The sequence below is a fragment of the Homo sapiens genome, chromosome 1 (assembly GCF_000001405.40).
Source record: "Homo sapiens chromosome 1, GRCh38.p14 Primary Assembly".
In the NCBI taxonomy this organism is placed as follows: domain Eukaryota; kingdom Metazoa; phylum Chordata; class Mammalia; order Primates; family Hominidae; genus Homo; species Homo sapiens.
This window is the reverse complement of record NC_000001.11, coordinates 45,056,571-45,076,445: the sequence shown is the minus strand read 5'-3', so window position 1 is coordinate 45,076,445 and position 19,875 is coordinate 45,056,571. Positions and strand designations below refer to the sequence as shown.

Below are 19,875 nucleotides of genomic sequence, written 5' to 3'. Positions count from 1 at the left end.
GGAGCTAGTGGCATGACATGTTTAAAGTGAAGGAAAAAAACTTTGATCCTAAAGTAGTATGTTTGGCAAAAATACCCTTCAAACATGAAGGAGAAATAAAGACTTTCCCAGACAAACAAAAACTGAGGGTTTTCATCAACACCAGACTGGCCTACAAGAAATGCTAAAAGAGAGTACTTCTATCAGTATAAAAAGGATGTTAATGAACAATAAGAAATCATATGAAGGTACAGAACTCACTGGTGATAGTAAGTAGACAGAAGAACACAGAATATTATAACATTGTAACCGTGATGTGTAAACTACTCTTAAGTAGAAAGACTAAACTATGAACCAATCACAAATAATAACTACAACTTTCAAGACATAGCATAATAAGATAAAAGTAGTAACAACAAAAAGTTAAGAAGCAGGGGCACGAAGTTAAGTTGTAGAGTTTTTATTAGGTTTCTTTTGGCTCGTTTGTTTGCTTATTTAAACAGTGTAAGTTGTTATCAGTTTAAAATAATGGGTTATAAGATAGTATTTGCAAGCCTCATGGTAACTTCAAGCCAAAAAAAAAAAAAAATACAACAGCTACACAAAAAGTTAAAAGTAAGAAACTAAATCATATCACCAGAGAAAGTTACCTTCACTAAAGGAAAACAGGAAGGAAAGAAGGAAGAGAAGACCACAGAACAACCAGAAAACAAATAACAAAATGGCAGGACTAAGTCCTTACTTATCAATAACAACACTGAATGTAAATAGACTAAACTCTCCAATAAAAAGACATAAAGTGGCTGGATGGATTAAAAAAAAATTAGACCCAGTGATCTGTTACCTACAAGAAACACACTTCACTTATAAAGACAAACATAGACTGAAAATTAAGGGATTGAAAAAGGTATTTCATGTCAATGGAAACAAAAAGGAGCAGGAGTAGCTATACTTTTATCAGACAAAATAGATTTCAAGACAAAAACTAAAAGAAGAGACAAAGAAGGTCATGATATAATGATAAAGGAGTTAGTTCAGTAAGAGAATATAACAATTGTAAATACATATACACCCAACACTGGAGCACCCAAATATATAGAGCAAATACTATTACAGCTAAATAGAGAGACCTCAGTGTAGTAATAGCTGGAGACTTCAGCACCCCGCTATCAGCATCGGACACATCTTCCAGACAGAAAATCAACAAAGAAACATTGGATTTAATCTGCACTATAGACCAAATGCAACTAATAGATATTTACGAACATTTCAGCCAGCAGCTGCAGAATACACATTCTTTTCCTCAGCACATGGATTATTCTCAAAGATAGACCACATGTTAAGTTACAAAACAAGTCTTAAAACAGTCAAAAAAAATTGAAATAAGCATCTTCTCTGACCACAATGGAATAAAACTAGAAATCAATAACAAGAGGAATTTTGGAAACTATACAAATACATGGAAATTAAACATTATGCTCCTGGATGACCAGTGGGTCAATAAAGAAATTAAGAGGAAATTGAAAATTTTCTTAAAACCAATGATAATGGAAACACAGCATACTAAAACCTATGGGATACAGCAAAAGCAGTACTAAGAGGGAAATGTATAGCTATAAGTACCTACATCAAAAAGAAGAAAAACTTCAAATAAACAATCTAATGATGCATCTTAAAGAACTAGAAAAGCAAGAGCAAACCAAACCCAAATTTAATAGAAGAAAATAAATAATAAAGATCAGAGCAGAAATAAATTGAAATGAAAACAATACAAAAAAAATCAATAAAACAAAAGGTTGGTTTTTTGAAAAGTTAAACAAAATTGACAAACCTTTAGCCATACTAAGAAAAAAAGAGAGATGACCCAAATAAATAAAATCAGAGATGAAAAAGGAGACATTACAGCTGATACCACAGAAATTCAAAGGATCATTAGTGGCTACTGTGAACAACTATATGCCAGTAAATCAGAAAATCTAAAAGCAATGAACAAATTTCAAGACTCATATAACCTATCAAGACTGAACCATGAAGAAACCCAAAACTTGAACAGACCAATAACAAGTAACAAATTCAAAGCCATAATAAAAAAAGTCACCCAGTAATGAAAAGCCTGAGACCCAGCTGAATTCTACCAAACATTTAAAGAAGGATTAATACCAATCTTATTCAAACTATTCTGAAAATAGAGGAGGAAGAAATACTTCCAAACTCATTCTACAAGGCAAATATTACCCTGATACCAAAACCAGACAAAGACATATCAAAAAAATAAAACTACAGGCCAATATCTCTGATGAATATTCATGCAAAAAATCCTCAACAAAATACTAGCAAACTGAATTCAACAATACATTAAAAAGATCATTTATCATGACCAAGTGGGATTTATCCCTGAGATGCAAGGATGGTTCAATATATGGAAATCAATCAATATGATACATCATATCAGCAGAATAAAGGATAAAAACCATATGATCATTTCAATTGATGCTGAAAAAGCACTTGATAAAATCCAACATCTCTTCATGATAAAAATGCTTTAAAAATGGGTACAGAAGGAACATACCTCAACATAATAAAAGACATATATGGCAGACCCACAGCTAATATCATATTGAATGGGGAAAAACTGAAAACCTTTCCTCTAAGATCTGGAACGTGACAAGGATGCCCCATGTTACCACTGTTATTCAACATAATGCTGAAGGTCCTAGCTAGAGCAAGCAAAGAAGAGAGAGAAATAAGGGGCATTTAAATTGGAAAGGAAGAAGTCAAATTATCCTCGTTTGCAGATGATATGATCTTATATTTGGAAAAACCTAAAGACTCCACCAAAAAACTATTAGAATTGATGAACAAATTCAGTAAAATTGCAGGATACAAAATCAACATACAAAAATCAGCAGGCCGGGCGCAGTGGCTCATGTCTGTAATCCCATCACTTTGGGAGGCTGAGGCAGGCAGATCACCTAAGGTCAGGAGTTTGAGACAAGCCTGGCCAACATGGTGAAACTCTACCTCTACTAAAAATACAAAAATTACCCAGGCGTGATGGTGGGCACCAGTAATCCCAGCTACTTGGGAAGCTGAGGCAGGAGAATCGCTTGAACCCAGGAGGCAGAGGTTGCAGTGAGCTAAGATCGTGCCACTGCAACTCCAGCCAGGGCAACAACAGTGAGACTCCACCAAAAAAAAAAAAAAAAAAAAAAAAAAATTCAGTAGCAATTGTATATGCGAACAGTGAACAATCTAAAAAATAAATTTAAAAAGTAATCCCATTTACAATGGCCACAAATAAAATTAAATACCTAGGAGTTAACCAAGAAAGTGAAAGATCTCTATAATGAAAACTATAAAACACTGATGAAAGAAATTGAAGAAGACACCAAAAAATGGAAAGATATTCCATGTTCATGGATTGGAAAAATCAATATTGTTAAAATATTCATACTACTCAATCTACAGATTCAATGTAATCCCTATCAAAATACCAATGACATTCTTCACAGAAATAGAAAACACAATTCTAAAATTGTTTTTTGCTATGTGAAACCACAAAAGACCTGGAATAACCAAAGCTATCCTAAGCAAAAAGAACAAAACTGGAGTTATTACTTGACTTCACATTATACTACAGAGCTATAGTAACCAAAATAGCATGGTACTGTCATAAAATAGACACACAGACCAATGGAACAGAATAGAAAACCTAGAAACAAATCCACACACGTACACTGAACTCATTTGTTACAAAGGTGCCAAGAACATACACTGGGGAAAAGACAGTTTTTTCAATAAATGGATGCTAGGAAACTGGATATCCATATGCAGAAGAAATGAAACTAGACCCCTATCTCTAGCCATATACAAAAATCAGATAAAAATGGATTAAAGACTTAAATCTAAGACCTGAAACTATGAAACTACTACAAGAAAACATTGGGGAAACTCTCTAGGACACTGGACTGGGCAAAGATTTCTTGAGTAATAACCCACAAGCACAGGCAACCAAAGCAAAAATGGATAAATGGGATCACATCAAGTTAAAAAGCTTCTGTACAGAAAGGAAATAATTGACAAAGTGAAGAGACAAACCACAGAATGGGAGAAAATATTAGCAAACTACCCATCTGACAAGGACTTAATAACAAGAATATATAAGGAGCTTAATTCAATAGGAAAAAATCTAATAATCTGATGTTAAAATGGGCAATAGATCTGAACAGACATTTCTCAAAAGACGACATACAAGTGGCAAATGAGTATATGAAAAGGTACTCAATATCATTTGTCATCAGAGAAATGCAAATCAAAACCACAATGACATATCATCTCACCTCAGTAAAAATGGCTTATATCCAAAAGACAGGCAATAAGAAGTGCTGGTGAGGATGTGGAGAAAAGGGAACCCTCGTACACTGTTGGTGGCAAAGTAAATTAGTACAACCACTATGGAGAACAGTTTGAAAGTTCCTCAAAAAACTAAACAGAGCTACCATATGATTCAGCAATCCTACTGCTTTCCAAAGAAAAGGAAATCAGTATATCAGAGAGAGGTCTGCACTTGCATGTTTGTTTGTTGCAGCATTGTTCACAAAGCAAGATTTGGAACCATCCTAAGTGTCCATCAGCAGACGAATGGATAAAGAAAATGTGGTACTTATACACAGTGGAGTACTATGCAGCAATAAAAAAGAATGAGATCAGCTGGGTGCAGTGGCTCACACCTGTAGTCCTAGCACTTTGGGAGGTCGAAGCAGGCAGATTGCTTGAGCTCAGGAGTTCAAGACCAGCCTGGGCAACATGGCAAAACTCTTATCTCTACAAAAATTACAAAAAAGTAGCCAGATGTTGGTGGCATGCACCTGTAGTCTCAACTACTGGGGAGGCTGAGGCAAGAGAATTGCTTGAGCTTAGGAGGTTAAGGCTGCAGTGAGCCATGATCATGCCACTGCACTCCAGCCTGGGTGACAGAGTGAGACCCTATCTCAAAAAAAAAAAAAAAAAAAGAGATTCTGTCATTTGCAACAACATGGATGGAATTGGAGGTTATTATGCTAGGTGAAATAACCCAGGCACAGAAAGACAAACATCATCACATGTTCTCACTTGTTTGTGAGATCTAAAAATCAAAACAATTGAGCTCATAGAGATAGAGTAGAAGGATGGTTATGAGAGGCTGGGAAGGGTAGTGGGGGGATGTCAGGGAGGTGGGGATGGTTAATGTGTACAAAACATAGTTAGAATGAAAAAGACCTAGTATTTGATAGCACAACAGGACGATTATAGTCAATAAGTAATTTAATTGTACATTTTTAAATCACTGAAAGAGTATAATTGGATTGTAACACAAAGAATAAATACTTGAGGTAATGGATACCCCATTTTCCATGTTGTGATTATTATGCATTGCATGTCTCTATCAAAACATCTCATGTACCCCATAAATATATATACCTACTATCTACCCACAAAAATTAAAATTAAAAAAGAAAGATTGAATACCAAGAGAAAAGTAAGATAACTTGAGAAGTCAGGTCAGGAACCATGTTTTGCTAATTTCTGAGTGTCCCTCACCAAGCACGATACCTGTAAAATAATCAATGTTCTATAAGTGTTTGTTGATTGAAAACATCCTTGAATAAACAGGTGATGAAAGAGGAGCCAATGTAGGAATTAACAAAGTAATGGGAAAAAAACTAGCAAGTTATTATCAAAGAAGATGTAGCATTGAGTTTCAAAAAGTGAATGGTCAACAGTGTGGAATACTGTGGAAGATAGAACTAACAAACATGGAAAGACAATTTGGGGGAAATACAAACTATGCAGAAAGAATAAAACTTTGAAAAATTATTAGTATCAGAAATAAAAAGATATTGCAACCTATGAAATAACAACTAGATACTACAAAAACAAATGCAAAGAACAGAAAAAAATCATGAATATTACAAATTTGATGGCAGAAAATTTTAAAACTCAATAGAATTGTTGGAACATAAAATTCCTATGGAGAACAGCCCTTGCTGCCACCAACATGGAGACTTTGTACCATGTCCCGTTCTTTGTGCTCGAATGTCCTAACCTGAAGCTGAAGAAGCCACCCTGGCTGCCCATGCCGTTGGCCATGACTGTGTATGCTCTGGTGGTGGCGTCTTACTTCCTCATCACCAGAGGAATAATTTATGATGTTATTGTTGAACCTCCAAGTGTTGGTTCTGTGACTGATGAACATGGGCATCAGAGGCCAGTAGCTTTCTTGGCCTACAAAGTAAATGGACAGTATATTATGGAAGGACTTGCATCCAGCTTCCTGTTTACAGTGGGAGGTTTAGGTTTCATAATCCTGGACTGATCGAATGCACCAAATATCCCAAAACTCAATAGATTTCTTCTTCTAGTCATTGGATTCGTGTGTGTCTTATTGAGGTTTTTCATAGCTACTCAAGTATTCATGAGAATGAAACTGCCAGTCTATCTGATGGGTTAGACTGCATTTGAGAAGAAATCAGTGGATACTGGATTTGCTCCTATCAAAGAAGTTTTAAAGGCTGTACCAGTCCTCTAATATGAAATGTGGAAAAGAATGAAGAGCAACAGTAAAAGAAATATGTACTGAAAAAACAGGAAGCATATTGAAGCTTGGCCTAGAATTTATTCTTGGTATTAAAGAGACAAGTTTATCACAGTATTTTTTTTTCCTGCTGACCTTTTGCTATGCCAGCGATGTTGAGTGGCATTTTCTTCTTAGTTTTTCATTTCTTAAAGAAAATATACTCTATATCTACAACTATAATATCAAATAAAGTGATTATTTTTTGCAACCCACTTAAAAAATTCCTATGGAGTAGAACAAAAAGAGAGATGAAAAAGAGGAGGAAAAATGTATCAAAAATTAAAACGAGTCCTCAAATTCCAGTGTTTAACTAATAGGGGTTAATAGGGGTTTCAGAAATAGAAAACAGAGGTAAGGAATTCACCAATGAAATAATTGAACAAAATTTTCTAGAATGAAACGTGAATTTCTTTTTTTTTTTTTTGGAGACGGAGTCTCACTCTGTCGTCCAGGCTGGAGTGCAGTGGCACGATCTTGGCTCACTGCAAGCTCCGCCTCCCGGGTTCACACCATTCTCCTACTTCAGCCTCCCCAGTAGCTGGGACTCCAGGCGCCCACCACCACGCCCGGCTAATTTTTTGTATTTTTAGTAGAGACGGGGTGTCACCGTGTTAGCCAGGATGGTCTCGATCTGCTGACCTTGTGATCCACCCACCTCGGCCTCCCAAAGTGCTGGGATTACAGGCATGAGCCATTGTGCCTGGCCCAAAAACATGAATTTCTAAAGTGAAAAGATTCTGACTGGGTGGGATGGTTCACGCCAGTAATTCCAGCACTCTGGGAGGTCAAAGCAGGAGGATCGCATGAGCCCAGGAGTTCAAGACCAGCCTGGGCAACAAAGTAAGGTCCCCATCTCTACAAAAAAAAAATCAAAAAGATTAGCTGGGCATGGTGGTGTGTGCCTGTAGTCCCAGCTGCTCAGGAGGCCGAGGCAAGGCCAGAGGATTGCTTGAGCCCAGGAGTTTGAGGCTGCAGCAAGCTACAATGGCACCACTGCACTCCAGCCTGGAAGACAAAGATCCTGTCTCAGAAAAAAAAAAAAAAAAAAAAAAAAAAAAGACATACAACAGCAACAAAACAGTGAGAGGATTCCACTAAATGCCAAGAAAGGGAAAAGAATAATCTTTTCAATAAGCGATGTTGGATCAACTAAAAATCAACTTTCCAGTTGAAACTTGATTTCTACCTGATACCATTCAGAAAAATCAGTTGTGGATGGATTGTGGATATAAATGTGAAAAGTAGAAGAGTAAAACCTAAAAGATAAGAGAACACCTTCATGTCCTTGAGGTAGAGAAAAATTTCTTGAGTAGGAAAAGACCAATAAATTGGAATACATTAATTTTTTTTTTTTGAGACGGAGTTTCGCTCTCGTTGCCCAGACTGGAGTGCAATGGCATGATTTCAGCTCACCGTACATTAAAATTTTTAAATTACCACTTATCAGCCAGGCACCGTGGCTCACACCTGTAATCCCAGCACTTTGGGAGGCTGGGGCAGGCAGATCACCTGCGGTCAGGAGTTCAAGACCAGCCTGGCCAGCATGGTGAAATCCCATCTCTACTAAAAATACAAAAATTAGCCAGGCATGGTAGTGTGCACCACCTGTAATCCCAGCCACTTGGGAGGCTGAGGCAGGAGAATGGCTTGGACCCTGGAGGCGGAGGTTGCAGTGAGCTGAGATCACACCACTGCACTCCAGCCTGGGCAATAGAGTAAGACTCCATCTCAAAAAAAAAAAAAGAAAAAAAAAAAAAAAGAAAAATTGCTTCCTTAGACTTAATAACCCCCTCAGGACAGGTCTCATTATATAAGCCTCAATGCTTACGTGGAGGCTGAACCCACACAATGGTTTGTTTCATAATTATTTATAAAAGACATCCTTTCTATCTTATCTTCACTTGTCACCATTTCTCTTATTAGTTTTAGTCCTTAGGAAAAAATTCAGACTATAATGTTAAAGTATCATTTACATTGACTAGGTCTAATTTACTGTTACTAAAGATAAGTGGTTTCATACTCATCTCTTTCTGTGAAAAGACTAAAATATTCTAACCAGTGAACATATAAGGGCATTTTAATTTAATTTGATTTTTAAACTAAAGAAAGGAGTTTTAGAAAAGATGCTGCCTGGGAGTTAGTGAGAGATAGCTGAAGAAGCCAGTTTGTGAACTCCACACCTAGTTTATCTACTTAAATGATTTGTGCCCTTGTTTATTCCTTAATGCTGTCCTCTACTGTGACCTTTGAATATTGACATTTCTTATAGATTAATCTTACATTTTCTCCTCTTCTTATTTTATATGATCTCTGTAGGCAATCTCAGTTACATCCTTGTCTTCAAATATTATCTACATTCCAAGACACACAAATGTATTTCTTTCTTTCTTTCTTTCTTTTTTTTTTTTTTTGAGGCAGGGTCTTACTCTCTCACCTAGGCTGGAATGCAGTGGCACAATCACAGCTCACTGCAGCCTTAGTCTCCCTGGGCTCAGGTGATCCTCCCACCTCAGCCTCCCAAGTAGCTGGGACTACAGGCTCATGTCACCATGCTTGGCTAATTTTTGTATTTTTTTATAGAGACAGGGTCTCACTGTGTTGCCCAGGCTGGTCTTGAACTCTTGGTCTCAAGCAACACACCCACCTTGGCCTCCCAAAGTGCTAGGATTACAGGCATGAGCCACTGTGCCCAACCTCACACATGTATTTCTTCAGCCCATATCTTTTGAGCGTTAGACTCTATATCCAACTATTTAATGTCATAAAGGCATCCCAAGATCAACATACCCAAATGTGATTTTATTATCTTCTTCCCCAAATTTATTTATCCTCCTGTATTCACCATATAGCACCACCATCTAGCCATGGAATCATGATGAAAACCTTGTAGTTACTCCTAACACCTTTGCCTTTTGTGTATTCCACATGCAATATATTGCAAGATATGTTAATTTTACCTCTGAAATATATTTCATAATTTTCTACTTCTCCCTATTAAATCAAACCACTATAATCTCTCACGTAAATTGCTATAGTAGCCAATCTAACTGATCTTTCAATTTCCACTATTAATCCCCTCTATTCCATTCTTCACACCACCATCCTTCAGTGGCCTCCTATTACTGTTAGGATCGAGTCCAAATTTCTGTGGCATACAAAACTTTGCATGATCTGGCTTTTGCCTGCATTTTCACATGATATTCCCTCTCCTTGAGAGAATATCCTCCTTTCCCATACTATTTCTATCCTCCCTCCCTTATTATAGTTGTATTTAATTACCAATTTATGACATAATGTTTTTTTTGAACAAAAAGTACACAGTATTTCTTCCACTCTCTGCCAGGCTAACTCCTATTTATTCTTCAAGTGTCAGCTTAAATGTCACTTTCTCAGAGAAGCCTTCTTTGACTCTTCTTCCTTTCCACACAAAAATGTGTACATGTGATTATTTGCTTCAGGTCTCTCTCCCCAACTATAAGCTCCGTATCTGCTTTGTTTACCATTATATATCCAGTATTTGGCACAGGCACAGGTTCTGTACATATCAAGCTCTCTATAAATATTGGCTGAATAAATGAAAATGTCTTAGAAATGAAAATGAAAATGTCTTAGAAAATTCTCCATGGGGGGGAATACTATACAGCCATAAAAAATGAAGAGTTCATGTCCTTTGTAGGGACATGGATGAAACTGGAAACCATCATTCTCAGCAAACTATCGCAAGGACAAAAAACCAAACACCACATGTTCTCACTCATAGGTGGGTATTGAACAATGAGAACACATGGACACAGGAAGGGGAACATCACACTCCGGGGACTGTTGTGGGGTGGGGGGAGGGGGGAGGGATAGCATTAGGAGATATACCTAATACTAAATGACGAGTTAATGGATGCAGCACAGCAACATGGCACATGTATACATATATAACAAACCTGCACATTGTGCACATGTACCCTAAAACTTAAAGTATAATAATAATAAAATTAGAATTAAAAAAAAAGAAAATTCTCCATGGGGTCTCTTGCCAGTTCATTCTCTTCCCAAATGACTTTGCTTGCCTCAGCAATCACACCAACTCCTTGTAGTTTGTTACCTCGATGCCCCAAATATTAACTCACTTCCTTTTTTGCTGCTGTCACCCATTTTAGCAGCTCAGTTTCTCCTGGGGTCCATTGTAGGCCAGCAAACATTTGTACAATTTACTTTCCTTTCTCTCCTATCAAATAAACAAACCCTTTTGAAGTTTAGGTGAAGTTGTACTGTTAGTAACTCTCAAGGTTTTGCCTCTTCCTAGCCCTATCCCAGCAGTTTTCCATAGATATACACTAGGTATTTATAAACTGTGCCTTATTTCTTCCACAGCTACTGCCGTTATCATCACCTGGGTGCCAAATGTTCTCCACTTTTTTCCATACCCCTTCAAACCCTTAGAGGAGAGGGTGTCAGTCCACACTTCCAGCCAGTTGTTTAAGGCCGACTGCCCTAAAAGACTAGATCCTGTTCCTGCTTTTTCATATCCTAACTTAACCACCCCAGGGTCAGAATTGGTATTCAAACCATCTCTGCCCTCTGCTGCTGGAGCACCATTGCTGTTCATTCCAACCCCAATCCTTAGCTCCAAGGTACTCAACAACCCAGTCCTTGGTTTAACCTGGTTTATCTCAGTTTTATCTCTATGGATCTCCTGAAAACCAGAATTGTTAGGAGTTAGACTCCATAACCTGCATTTTTCACAGAAACCCCAAGTAATTATTTTGTATATTAATATCTGAGAATCACTGTACTGGTAAGAACTCTAATTATCCTCACTGTGGGAAAAATGCATTATTCTGACTAATTCCATATTCTCTGTAGCAGAATAAGCTGAGAAAATATGGGATTTGGCTATCTTCAGATACACCATCAGTTACAGCTTCAGGGGACCTAAAACCAACTAGTGAATCCAGCGGTATGAGACTGAAGGCCAAAGTATAGCCTTGTAGTAAAGAGACAGGCTTTGGAAAGAGACCAATATATATATCCTGGCTGATATACTTTACATCTAAGTTACCTTGTCTAAACTTTAGTTTCTTCATTTTAAAATTAGGAGAATAATATGGCCTCATAGAGTTGTTATGAAGGTTCCTTGGAATTTATTCGATAAATATTTATTGAGCACCTACTATATGGCAGGCACCTTTCTATGTGTTGTGAATATACCAGCAAACAAAAACTTTTGCCCTCAAGGAGCATACATTCTAATGGGTATATGTATAAAAAGTGCCTCTAGCATACAGAAAGAACTCAATAAATTCTTGTTACTTACAAATATTTAAGGATAAGGAGTATATTTGTTTTCTTTTGCCACTTTTGGGATATAAAAGAAGCATAGGACACAATATATGCCTATGTGGTGCTTAGTGAGATATGTATTTGTTCATTCTATAAATATTAACTCAGTGCTGTGATGAGCCTGACACTGTGAAGTACAAAAATGAATCCCTATTTTTAAAAAATTTCAATTTAGTTGGGAATATATGAGAAATGCAAAATTCTAATGTAAAACAAGGTGCAAGAGAAGTAATAATAAAGTGCTATGAAGAACATTTAAGGAACGTAATAATAAAGTACTATGTAGAATGTTAATTAGTAAGTGAATGAATATCAGGAGAATACAAATACAAAAAATAGAGTTATTGCCTTTATATGCTGAGCACATGAGCGTAATAAGATGGGCATACTTTCGGCAGGTGGCAATGGAGTATATGGCTAATTCAGTGAGAAGGTTAAAAAAGAAATCTGTTGCCAAGTAAACTGGCAATACATGAACCTCAGCAGTGTTAGCCTCTCTGTACACTAATTTTATGATTTCTTTTTTTTTTTTTCTGAGACAGAGTCTCACTCTGTCGCCCAAGCTGGAGTGCAGTGGCGCAATCTCGGCTCACTGCAAGCTCCGCCTTCCGGGTTCACACCATTCTCCTGCCTCAGCCTCCCAAGTACCTGGGACTACATGCACCCACCACCACACCCAGCTAATTTTTTGTATTTTTAGTAGAGACTGTGTTAGCCAGGATGGTCTCGATCTCCTGACCTCATGATCCGCCCGCCTCAGCCTCCCAAAGTGCTGGGATTACAGGTGTGAGCCACTGCGCCTTCCTATGGTTTCTGTTTCTCATTGCGGCCCTGACTCTGGAGCTGAAGTAATATTAACAATGAGAACGGTTGGGTTTTTTGGTCAAAGAACAGGTTAGAGGAAGGAGGAGGAAAAGAATGTCATAAGCCAATGTGGTTGACTTCTGGGAACAGTCTTTCTGGCTGAAGCATATCATAAGTGTAGGGGAAGACAAGATGAAAAATAAAAGATAGGGCCTGAGCATAGAGGGCCTTGAATGGCATGCTAGGGCATTTGGACGTAATTTAGTAAGAATAGGGCATGACTGAATACTTTTGAGCAGGGAAGTGATTATGATCAGAACTATGTTTATTTGGGGAGTTCTCAGAGCACTTAAAACAGAACTATGATGCCACCCAGCAATCCCATTACTGGGCATATACCCAAAGGAGAATAAATCATTCTACCAAAAAGATACAGGCACTCATATTCACAATAGCAAAGACGTGGAATCAACCTAGGTGCCCAACAGCAGTGGATTGGATAAAGCAAATATGGTACATATACATCATGGAATTCAATGCAGCTATTAAAAAAAGACCAAAATAATTTCCTCTGCAGCAATGTGGATGCAGCTGGAGGCCATTATCCTAAGTAAATTAATTCAGAAATAGGAAGCCAAATACCACATGTTCTCACTTATAAGTGGGAGCTAAGCATTGGTTACACATGGTCATAAAGATGGGGACAGTAGACACTGGGAACTCCTCGAGAGGAGAGAAAAGGAAGGGACAAGATCTGAAAAAGTACCTATTGGGTACTATGCTCACTACCTGGGTGATGGGATCATTTTTACCCCAAACCTCAGCATCACACAGTATACCCATGTAACAAACCTGTACGTATATCCCCTGAATCTAAAATAAGAGTTGAAATTATTTTTTAAAAAACTCGGCCAGGTATGGTGGGTTATGCCTGTAATAACACTTTGGGAGGCTGAGGTGGGAGGATCTCTTGAGCCCAGGAGTTCGAGACCAGCCTGGGCAATATAGCAAGACCCTATCTCTACAAAAAAAATTTAAAAATAAATTAGTTGGGCATAGTGGTGCATGTCTTTAGTCCCAGCTACTTGGGAAGCTAAGGTGGTAGGATCACTTGAGCGCAGGAGGTTGAGGATGCAGTGAGCCATGATGGCACCACTACACTCCAGCCTGGGCAACAGAGTGAGACCCTGTCTAAAACAAACAACAAAAAACTATGTTTAGAATAAGACATTTGAAGAAAAGTAGCATAGAATAGATACAATAAAGTGGCAGATCATATGTGTTAATTTGTATTTGTGGAATGAGTGAATATGTGAGCCCTCCTAATTCCCTAGAGAATAAGATATACTACAAAAAAGCATAGCAAAGGAGTAGCTTTGTTGTGCTGACCCAAATTTTATTTAAGCAGAGTTCTGACATAGGGAGACGAGGAGTAAGGCAAACTGATTAAACATGACATGAATTTGTAACCTATGGCATGACCACACCTATAGAGTATTGATTTATGGACTATTGTCACTTGGAGGTAGGTTTCTAAAAACTTGTCACAGAATAAGTTTTAGTAATCTATTGCACTACATGGTGACCACAGTTAATAATAATGTTGTCATTTTTGTTGTTTTTGAGACAGGGTCTCACTCTGTTGCCCAGGCGGGAGTGCAGTGGCACGATCTCGGCTCACTGCAATGTTCACCTCCCAGGTTCAAGCAATTCTCGTGCCTCAGTCTCCCAGGTAGCTGGGATTACAGGCATACAGCACTACACCCAGCTAATTTTTGTACTTTTGGTAGAGGAGGGTTTCGCCATGTTGGTCAGGCTAGTCTCAAACTCCTGGCCTCAAGTGATCCACCTGCCTCAGCCTCCCAAAGTGCTGGGAGTGCAGGCATGAGCCACTGCACCCAACCAATAATGTATATTTCAAAAGTACTAAAATAGATTTTTAACATTCTTACCACATCAAAAAAAAAAAAAAAACTGGTGAGGTGATGGGTATGTTAATTGGCTTGATCAAATCTTCCTATAATGTATACATAGGTCAGGCTGGGTGGGCATGGTGGCTCACACCTGTAATCCCAGCACTTTGGGAGGCCAAGGCAGGCAGATCACTTGAGGCCAGGAGTTTGAGACCAGCCTGGCCAACATGGCGATGCCCCATCTCTGCCAAAAATACAAAAATTAGCCAGGCATGGTGGCACATGCCTGAAATCCCAGCTACTTGGGAGGCTGAGGCACAAAAATCACTTGAACCCAGGAGGTGGAGGTTGCAGTGAGCCGAGATCGTGCCACTGCACTCCAACCTGGATGACAGAGTGAGACTCTGTCTCAAAAAAAAAAAAAAAAGTATGCATAGATTAAAACATTACATTGTACCCCATATATACACACAATTATTTGTCAGTTAAAATTTTTTAAAAAACAAATTGTTACAGCACTCTGTCTATAAGAGAGTGAAAGATGATTCAGTTTTCATTTCACAGACATTTTCAGAGTGCTTGTCACATTATCAGCACTATGCTATAGGTGATACAGCTTTGGATTCAACTGGGGATTCAACTGTGAGTAAGGAGTTAACAGACTACTAGGAGAGAGGGATGTGTAAATAACTATAACTATGTTTTAAGTGGTTTTGTCAAGGTGAGCTCAATATGAAAATATATTTTATATAAATTTATAAAATCATATCACCCTGTATGAAACTCTACTTATGCTTTAGGGGACAATTTTCTAGTGAACTTTAAAAAAACAGAATTTTTTTGGCCTATAATCCCAGTACTTTGGGAGACTGAGTTGGGAGGATTGCTTGAGCCCAGGAGTTTGAGACCAGCCTGGGAAACATGGCAAAACCCTGTCTCTACAAAAAATTGTTTTAAAATAGTTGGGCATGGTGGCCCTCTCCTGTGGTGCCACCTACTTGGGAGGCTGAGGTGGAAGGATCGATGGAGCCTGGGAGGTCGAGGCTGCCATGAACCATGATCACGCTACTGCACTCCAGCAGCCTGGGTGACAGAGTGAGACCCTGTCTCAAACAAACAAAAAGAACTTTTCATGTTCAAAGAATGTATTTTTATTTTAAAATAATGTGTGCCTAGTAAGGCATATTTGAACTTCATAGAAAAGCAAAAAGAAGAAACAAAATGTCACTCTCCTGGGGAAAAAAATGCACAATTTGCATATTGTATATCTCTTCTAACCTTTTTTCCCCTACAGTGGTATCTGTAGATCTTAGATGAAGCTATAACTGAGACTTAAGTGAACATGCAAGTAGCATTAGATCTTTTAATTTAGGCTTTTTGAAAAATTAATTTTATGTATTTATTTATTTTGTTTAGGACTATACAGTTGACAAAACCCATATTAAAGCAGAATGACCCATCTCTGTTTGAATATGCTCACAAAGTGCCCCTCCAGCTGAATGTGTAGCATGTGAACTCAGGTGATTCATTTCACTGTTCTCATTCTTCATAGGTGCCCCTGACCCCACAGCTGGGGCCAGCATTGACGATGAGAACTGTTGGCATTTGGATGAAGAACAGGTGAAAGAACAAGTGAAGCTTTTTCTCTCCCAGGGCGGTTACTGTGGCTCTGGAAAGCAACTCAACTCAATGTTTGCCAAGGTAAGATATGAAAAGGTGTTTTTCTTTTGTTGTTGACAAAAGAAGCTTAAGTCAGACTGGGCACACCACACTTCAGGCTTCATGCATTATACCTAGCTCACTTGACATAGCTGAACTGAATACTTGAAATCTAGTGGGAGAGGCTGACCAGACCTGAGCAGGTTGCATCCAAGGAGGCCTCCCACCTCAACCTGGTAGTCCTGTTCCTTCTGCTCTGCTCTCTAAAAGAGTTAGTATTGCTGGGGCATTTTAGCAAGGAAACTACCTTCCCTCTGCTTTTAATCCAGTGCTGCCTGATGAAGCCTGAAGACTAGAGTTTCAACATTGTTCCTAAAGACACTTAATATTTTGAAACTAGGGGCTCTCACAGCAGGCTGTTTTTCTTTTCTTTTTTTTCCCCTTAATACCTTCAGTGAGATATAATTCATATACTATACAATTCACCCATTTAAAGTGTTAAAATTCAGTTCAGTGGTTTTTAGTATATTCATAGTTATATGCAACCATCACCACAATCAACTTTAGGACATTTTCATCACCTCAAAAAGAAACCCTATACCCTTACCTATCCCTCCCTTGTCCTCTATGTCTCCCTCCCTCAGCCCTAAGAAACCACTAATCTACTTTCTGTCTCTATAGATTTCCCTATTCTGGACTTTCATATGAATGGAATCATTCATATAGTATGTAGTCTTTTATGATTGGCTTCCTTCACTCAGCATAATGTTTTTAAGATTCATCAGTGTCATAGCATGAATCAGTACTTCATTCCTTTTTATGTCTGAACAATAAATGTGGATTTATTGTTCAAAATGTGGATACCCTACGTTTTATTTATCCATTCATCTGTTAGTGAACATTTGAGTTGTTTCTACCTTTTGGCTATTATGAATAGTGCTGCTATAAACATTCTTGTATAAGGTTCTATGTGGACATATATTTTCATTTCTTTCTTGGAGTGGAATTGATGGGTCATATGGTAACTCTATGCTTAATCATTTGAAGAACTGCCAGTCTGTTTTCCAAGGTGGCTGCATCATTTTACGTTCCTACCAACAGTGTATGATGTGTCAATTTCTTTACATCCTGTCCAACACTTGTTATCTGACTTTTTAATTCTAGCCATCCTAGTGGGTGTGAAGTGGTATCTTATTGTGAACATCAGGCTTTCTTGGTACATGCAGAGATCTTGCTTACAGAACAAGAGGCCTTCTTTCTGGCTCTTTTGGATATGGTGTACTCAGATACTTCATCTTCACTTCCCCCTCCCCCACTTCCTTCTCCTCCTACTTTTTTGTGATACACAATCACCAATCCCTTGCCACTTCTTATGTGTCAGGTTCGAGAAATGCTGCGGATGAGAGATTCCAATGGAGCAAGGATGCTGACACTAATAACTGAGCAGTTTGTGGCTGACCCACGACTCACACTCTGGAGGCAGCAAGGAACAAACATGACAGACAAGTGCAGGCAGCTCTGGGATGAGCTAGGTAAGTTCCCATCATTCAGAGAAGTGCTTTGTTCTACCATCTTGCCCTGTGGCAACAGTGTTTATGAGCCCTTGCCATCAGTCGTTGCATGGATCTTGCTAAGTCCAGCTGGTAGAAGACTTAGGTTCTACAGAGGCCACCCAGAGTAACACTGAACTCACTTTTGTTGCTTCCACAGCATTGTGCTTTGCTATTGACATCAAGCATTCTGTTCCAGATGTTAACAAGTGGAAACCTTTGTTGAGAGAAAACCTCTTTGCTTGTCTTCTGTTTCATGGCAGTAACCTGGCTCTCCAAATACTTATCAGCCTCACTTTTGTTGCTTTTCCCGAGTCTGCTGTTCTGTATCACTCCCAGCCAGACCTTTAAGACGTAGGGCAGTTTCCAATACTTGGACTTAACCTTCTATTCTTCCTTCATTATATTCCCTTGATAACTTTTTTTAAAATATCATAGCTTCAGAGCTTACTTATATGGTCATTTCACCTTTATATTCTTTCTACTCATCTGAGTTATAGTCCCACATGAGTAGATGTCCACTGACCATTTCCAATGAGAAATCAAAAATGAACTTGGGCTTTCTCCTACAAAAAAAGGCTCTTGTGACTGGCATTGGCACCACCATTCCTTACTTTACCAAACTTATTGCTAAGCACTCATTTTTCTTTCATTCCCTACATCCAGTGACCAACTTTATTTGATTTCTCAACCTTTAAAATGCAATGTAGTGTCCATTCCCCCGTGAAACTTTTAGATTAGATTAGAACTGTGACCTTCTAATGGCCTCACTGTTCTAGGTTCTCCCTCATCAAGGCAGTCCTCTGTGGCCATCATTTCTCTTTAGCATTCCCTTGCTCTAAGACCAGTTTTGCAATGCTAATACTTCTTGCCCTGCTTTCAGAATCTTCCATACCCTGAACTCAGGGTCACACACTAGTAAGTTTTGGCTCTAACACTGGAAGCCCAATCTGTCTGACTTTAAATCAAATATCCCTCTGTAACATCTCCCTCAATTCTATCTTAAGTCCTTTTATTTCTTCAAAGTGCATGTTCCTTAAGAACTTGAAGTTAGCCTTGGGAGAGTCAGTTTCATCTGAGGCCTGAATGTCTTAATTTCTGAACCAGTCACAGGATTGTGCTGTGAACTTGGGCTTTACCTCTGGGACAAAGGTAGTTGGGAGGAAGTAAGTAGAGATGGCTCCTGGTGCTTTTGAAACTCTTGTTATATACTTGGGTTCATTATGAAAAACTCTTGCTTCTGGCATTTTCATATCTAACAAATTACTGTACCTACCATCCAAGAAACCCTCAGCATTCTGCTAAGACAGTGGTTCTCAAACCTTTCAGAATCACCTGGAGTACTTGTTTAAACAGATCACTGGGCCCTATCCCGAGTTTCTGAATTAGTAGGTTTGGAGTGGAGCCTGAGAATTTGCATTTCAAACAAATTCCCAGGGGATGCTGATGCTGCTGATCCAGAGACCACACTTTGAGAACCACTGCACTTAGAGAAGGCTTATTAGGTTAGACACTAGAACACAGTGCATTCATGCTTCCCCTAACTATTCTAAGGGCTCCCCTAGCTATTCTTAGGGCTCCTTACAGATCACAAGGCCTATACACCTATGGAGAACCTAGGCAGGGTTTGTAGGAACTACAAATGTAGAGAGAAATGGCTCACTACTTTCCATTTCTGAACTAGAGAAAATGGGACCGATCACACATGAAGTTTCATCATCTCCCCACCTACAAATCTACTAATGCTTTCTATGTCTCTACCCATATGGTTTGCCTTCTCCTCTATTAAAATCCATAAAGTATCTCTGCTGTCATGAAAGGCCAACCCTTACGTGTTTGCTCTGGGTTCTGTTCTATCTCCTTTTCTCAAGAATGTTGCTCCTACAATTATTTCTTTGCTTGGGCATTATTAACTTTTTTCTCTCTACAGGATCATTTCCATCAGCATACAAATATGCTCTAATATCTTTTTTTTTTTTTGAGACAGAGTCTCACTCTGTCACCCAGGATGGAGTGCAGT

General features: G+C 38.6%; 1 protein-coding gene and 1 pseudogene across 3 annotated transcripts in view; both read left to right on the top strand.

The window, feature by feature from the left end:
- The window catches only part of ZSWIM5 (zinc finger SWIM-type containing 5), a 190,207-nt gene that overhangs the window by 130,160 nt on the left and 40,172 nt on the right, over nt 1–19,875 (top strand). For all 3 annotated transcript variants that reach the window (XM_047426192.1, NM_020883.2, XM_011541861.4), the window contains exons 3-4: nt 16,199–16,347; nt 17,687–17,837. In XM_047426192.1, the coding sequence (XP_047282148.1) occupies nt 16,199–16,347; nt 17,687–17,837 (300 nt within the window). The remainder of the gene's footprint in view (nt 1–16,198; nt 16,348–17,686; nt 17,838–19,875) is intronic.
- On the top strand, nt 5,992–6,666 carry OSTCP5 (oligosaccharyltransferase complex subunit pseudogene 5; annotated as a pseudogene).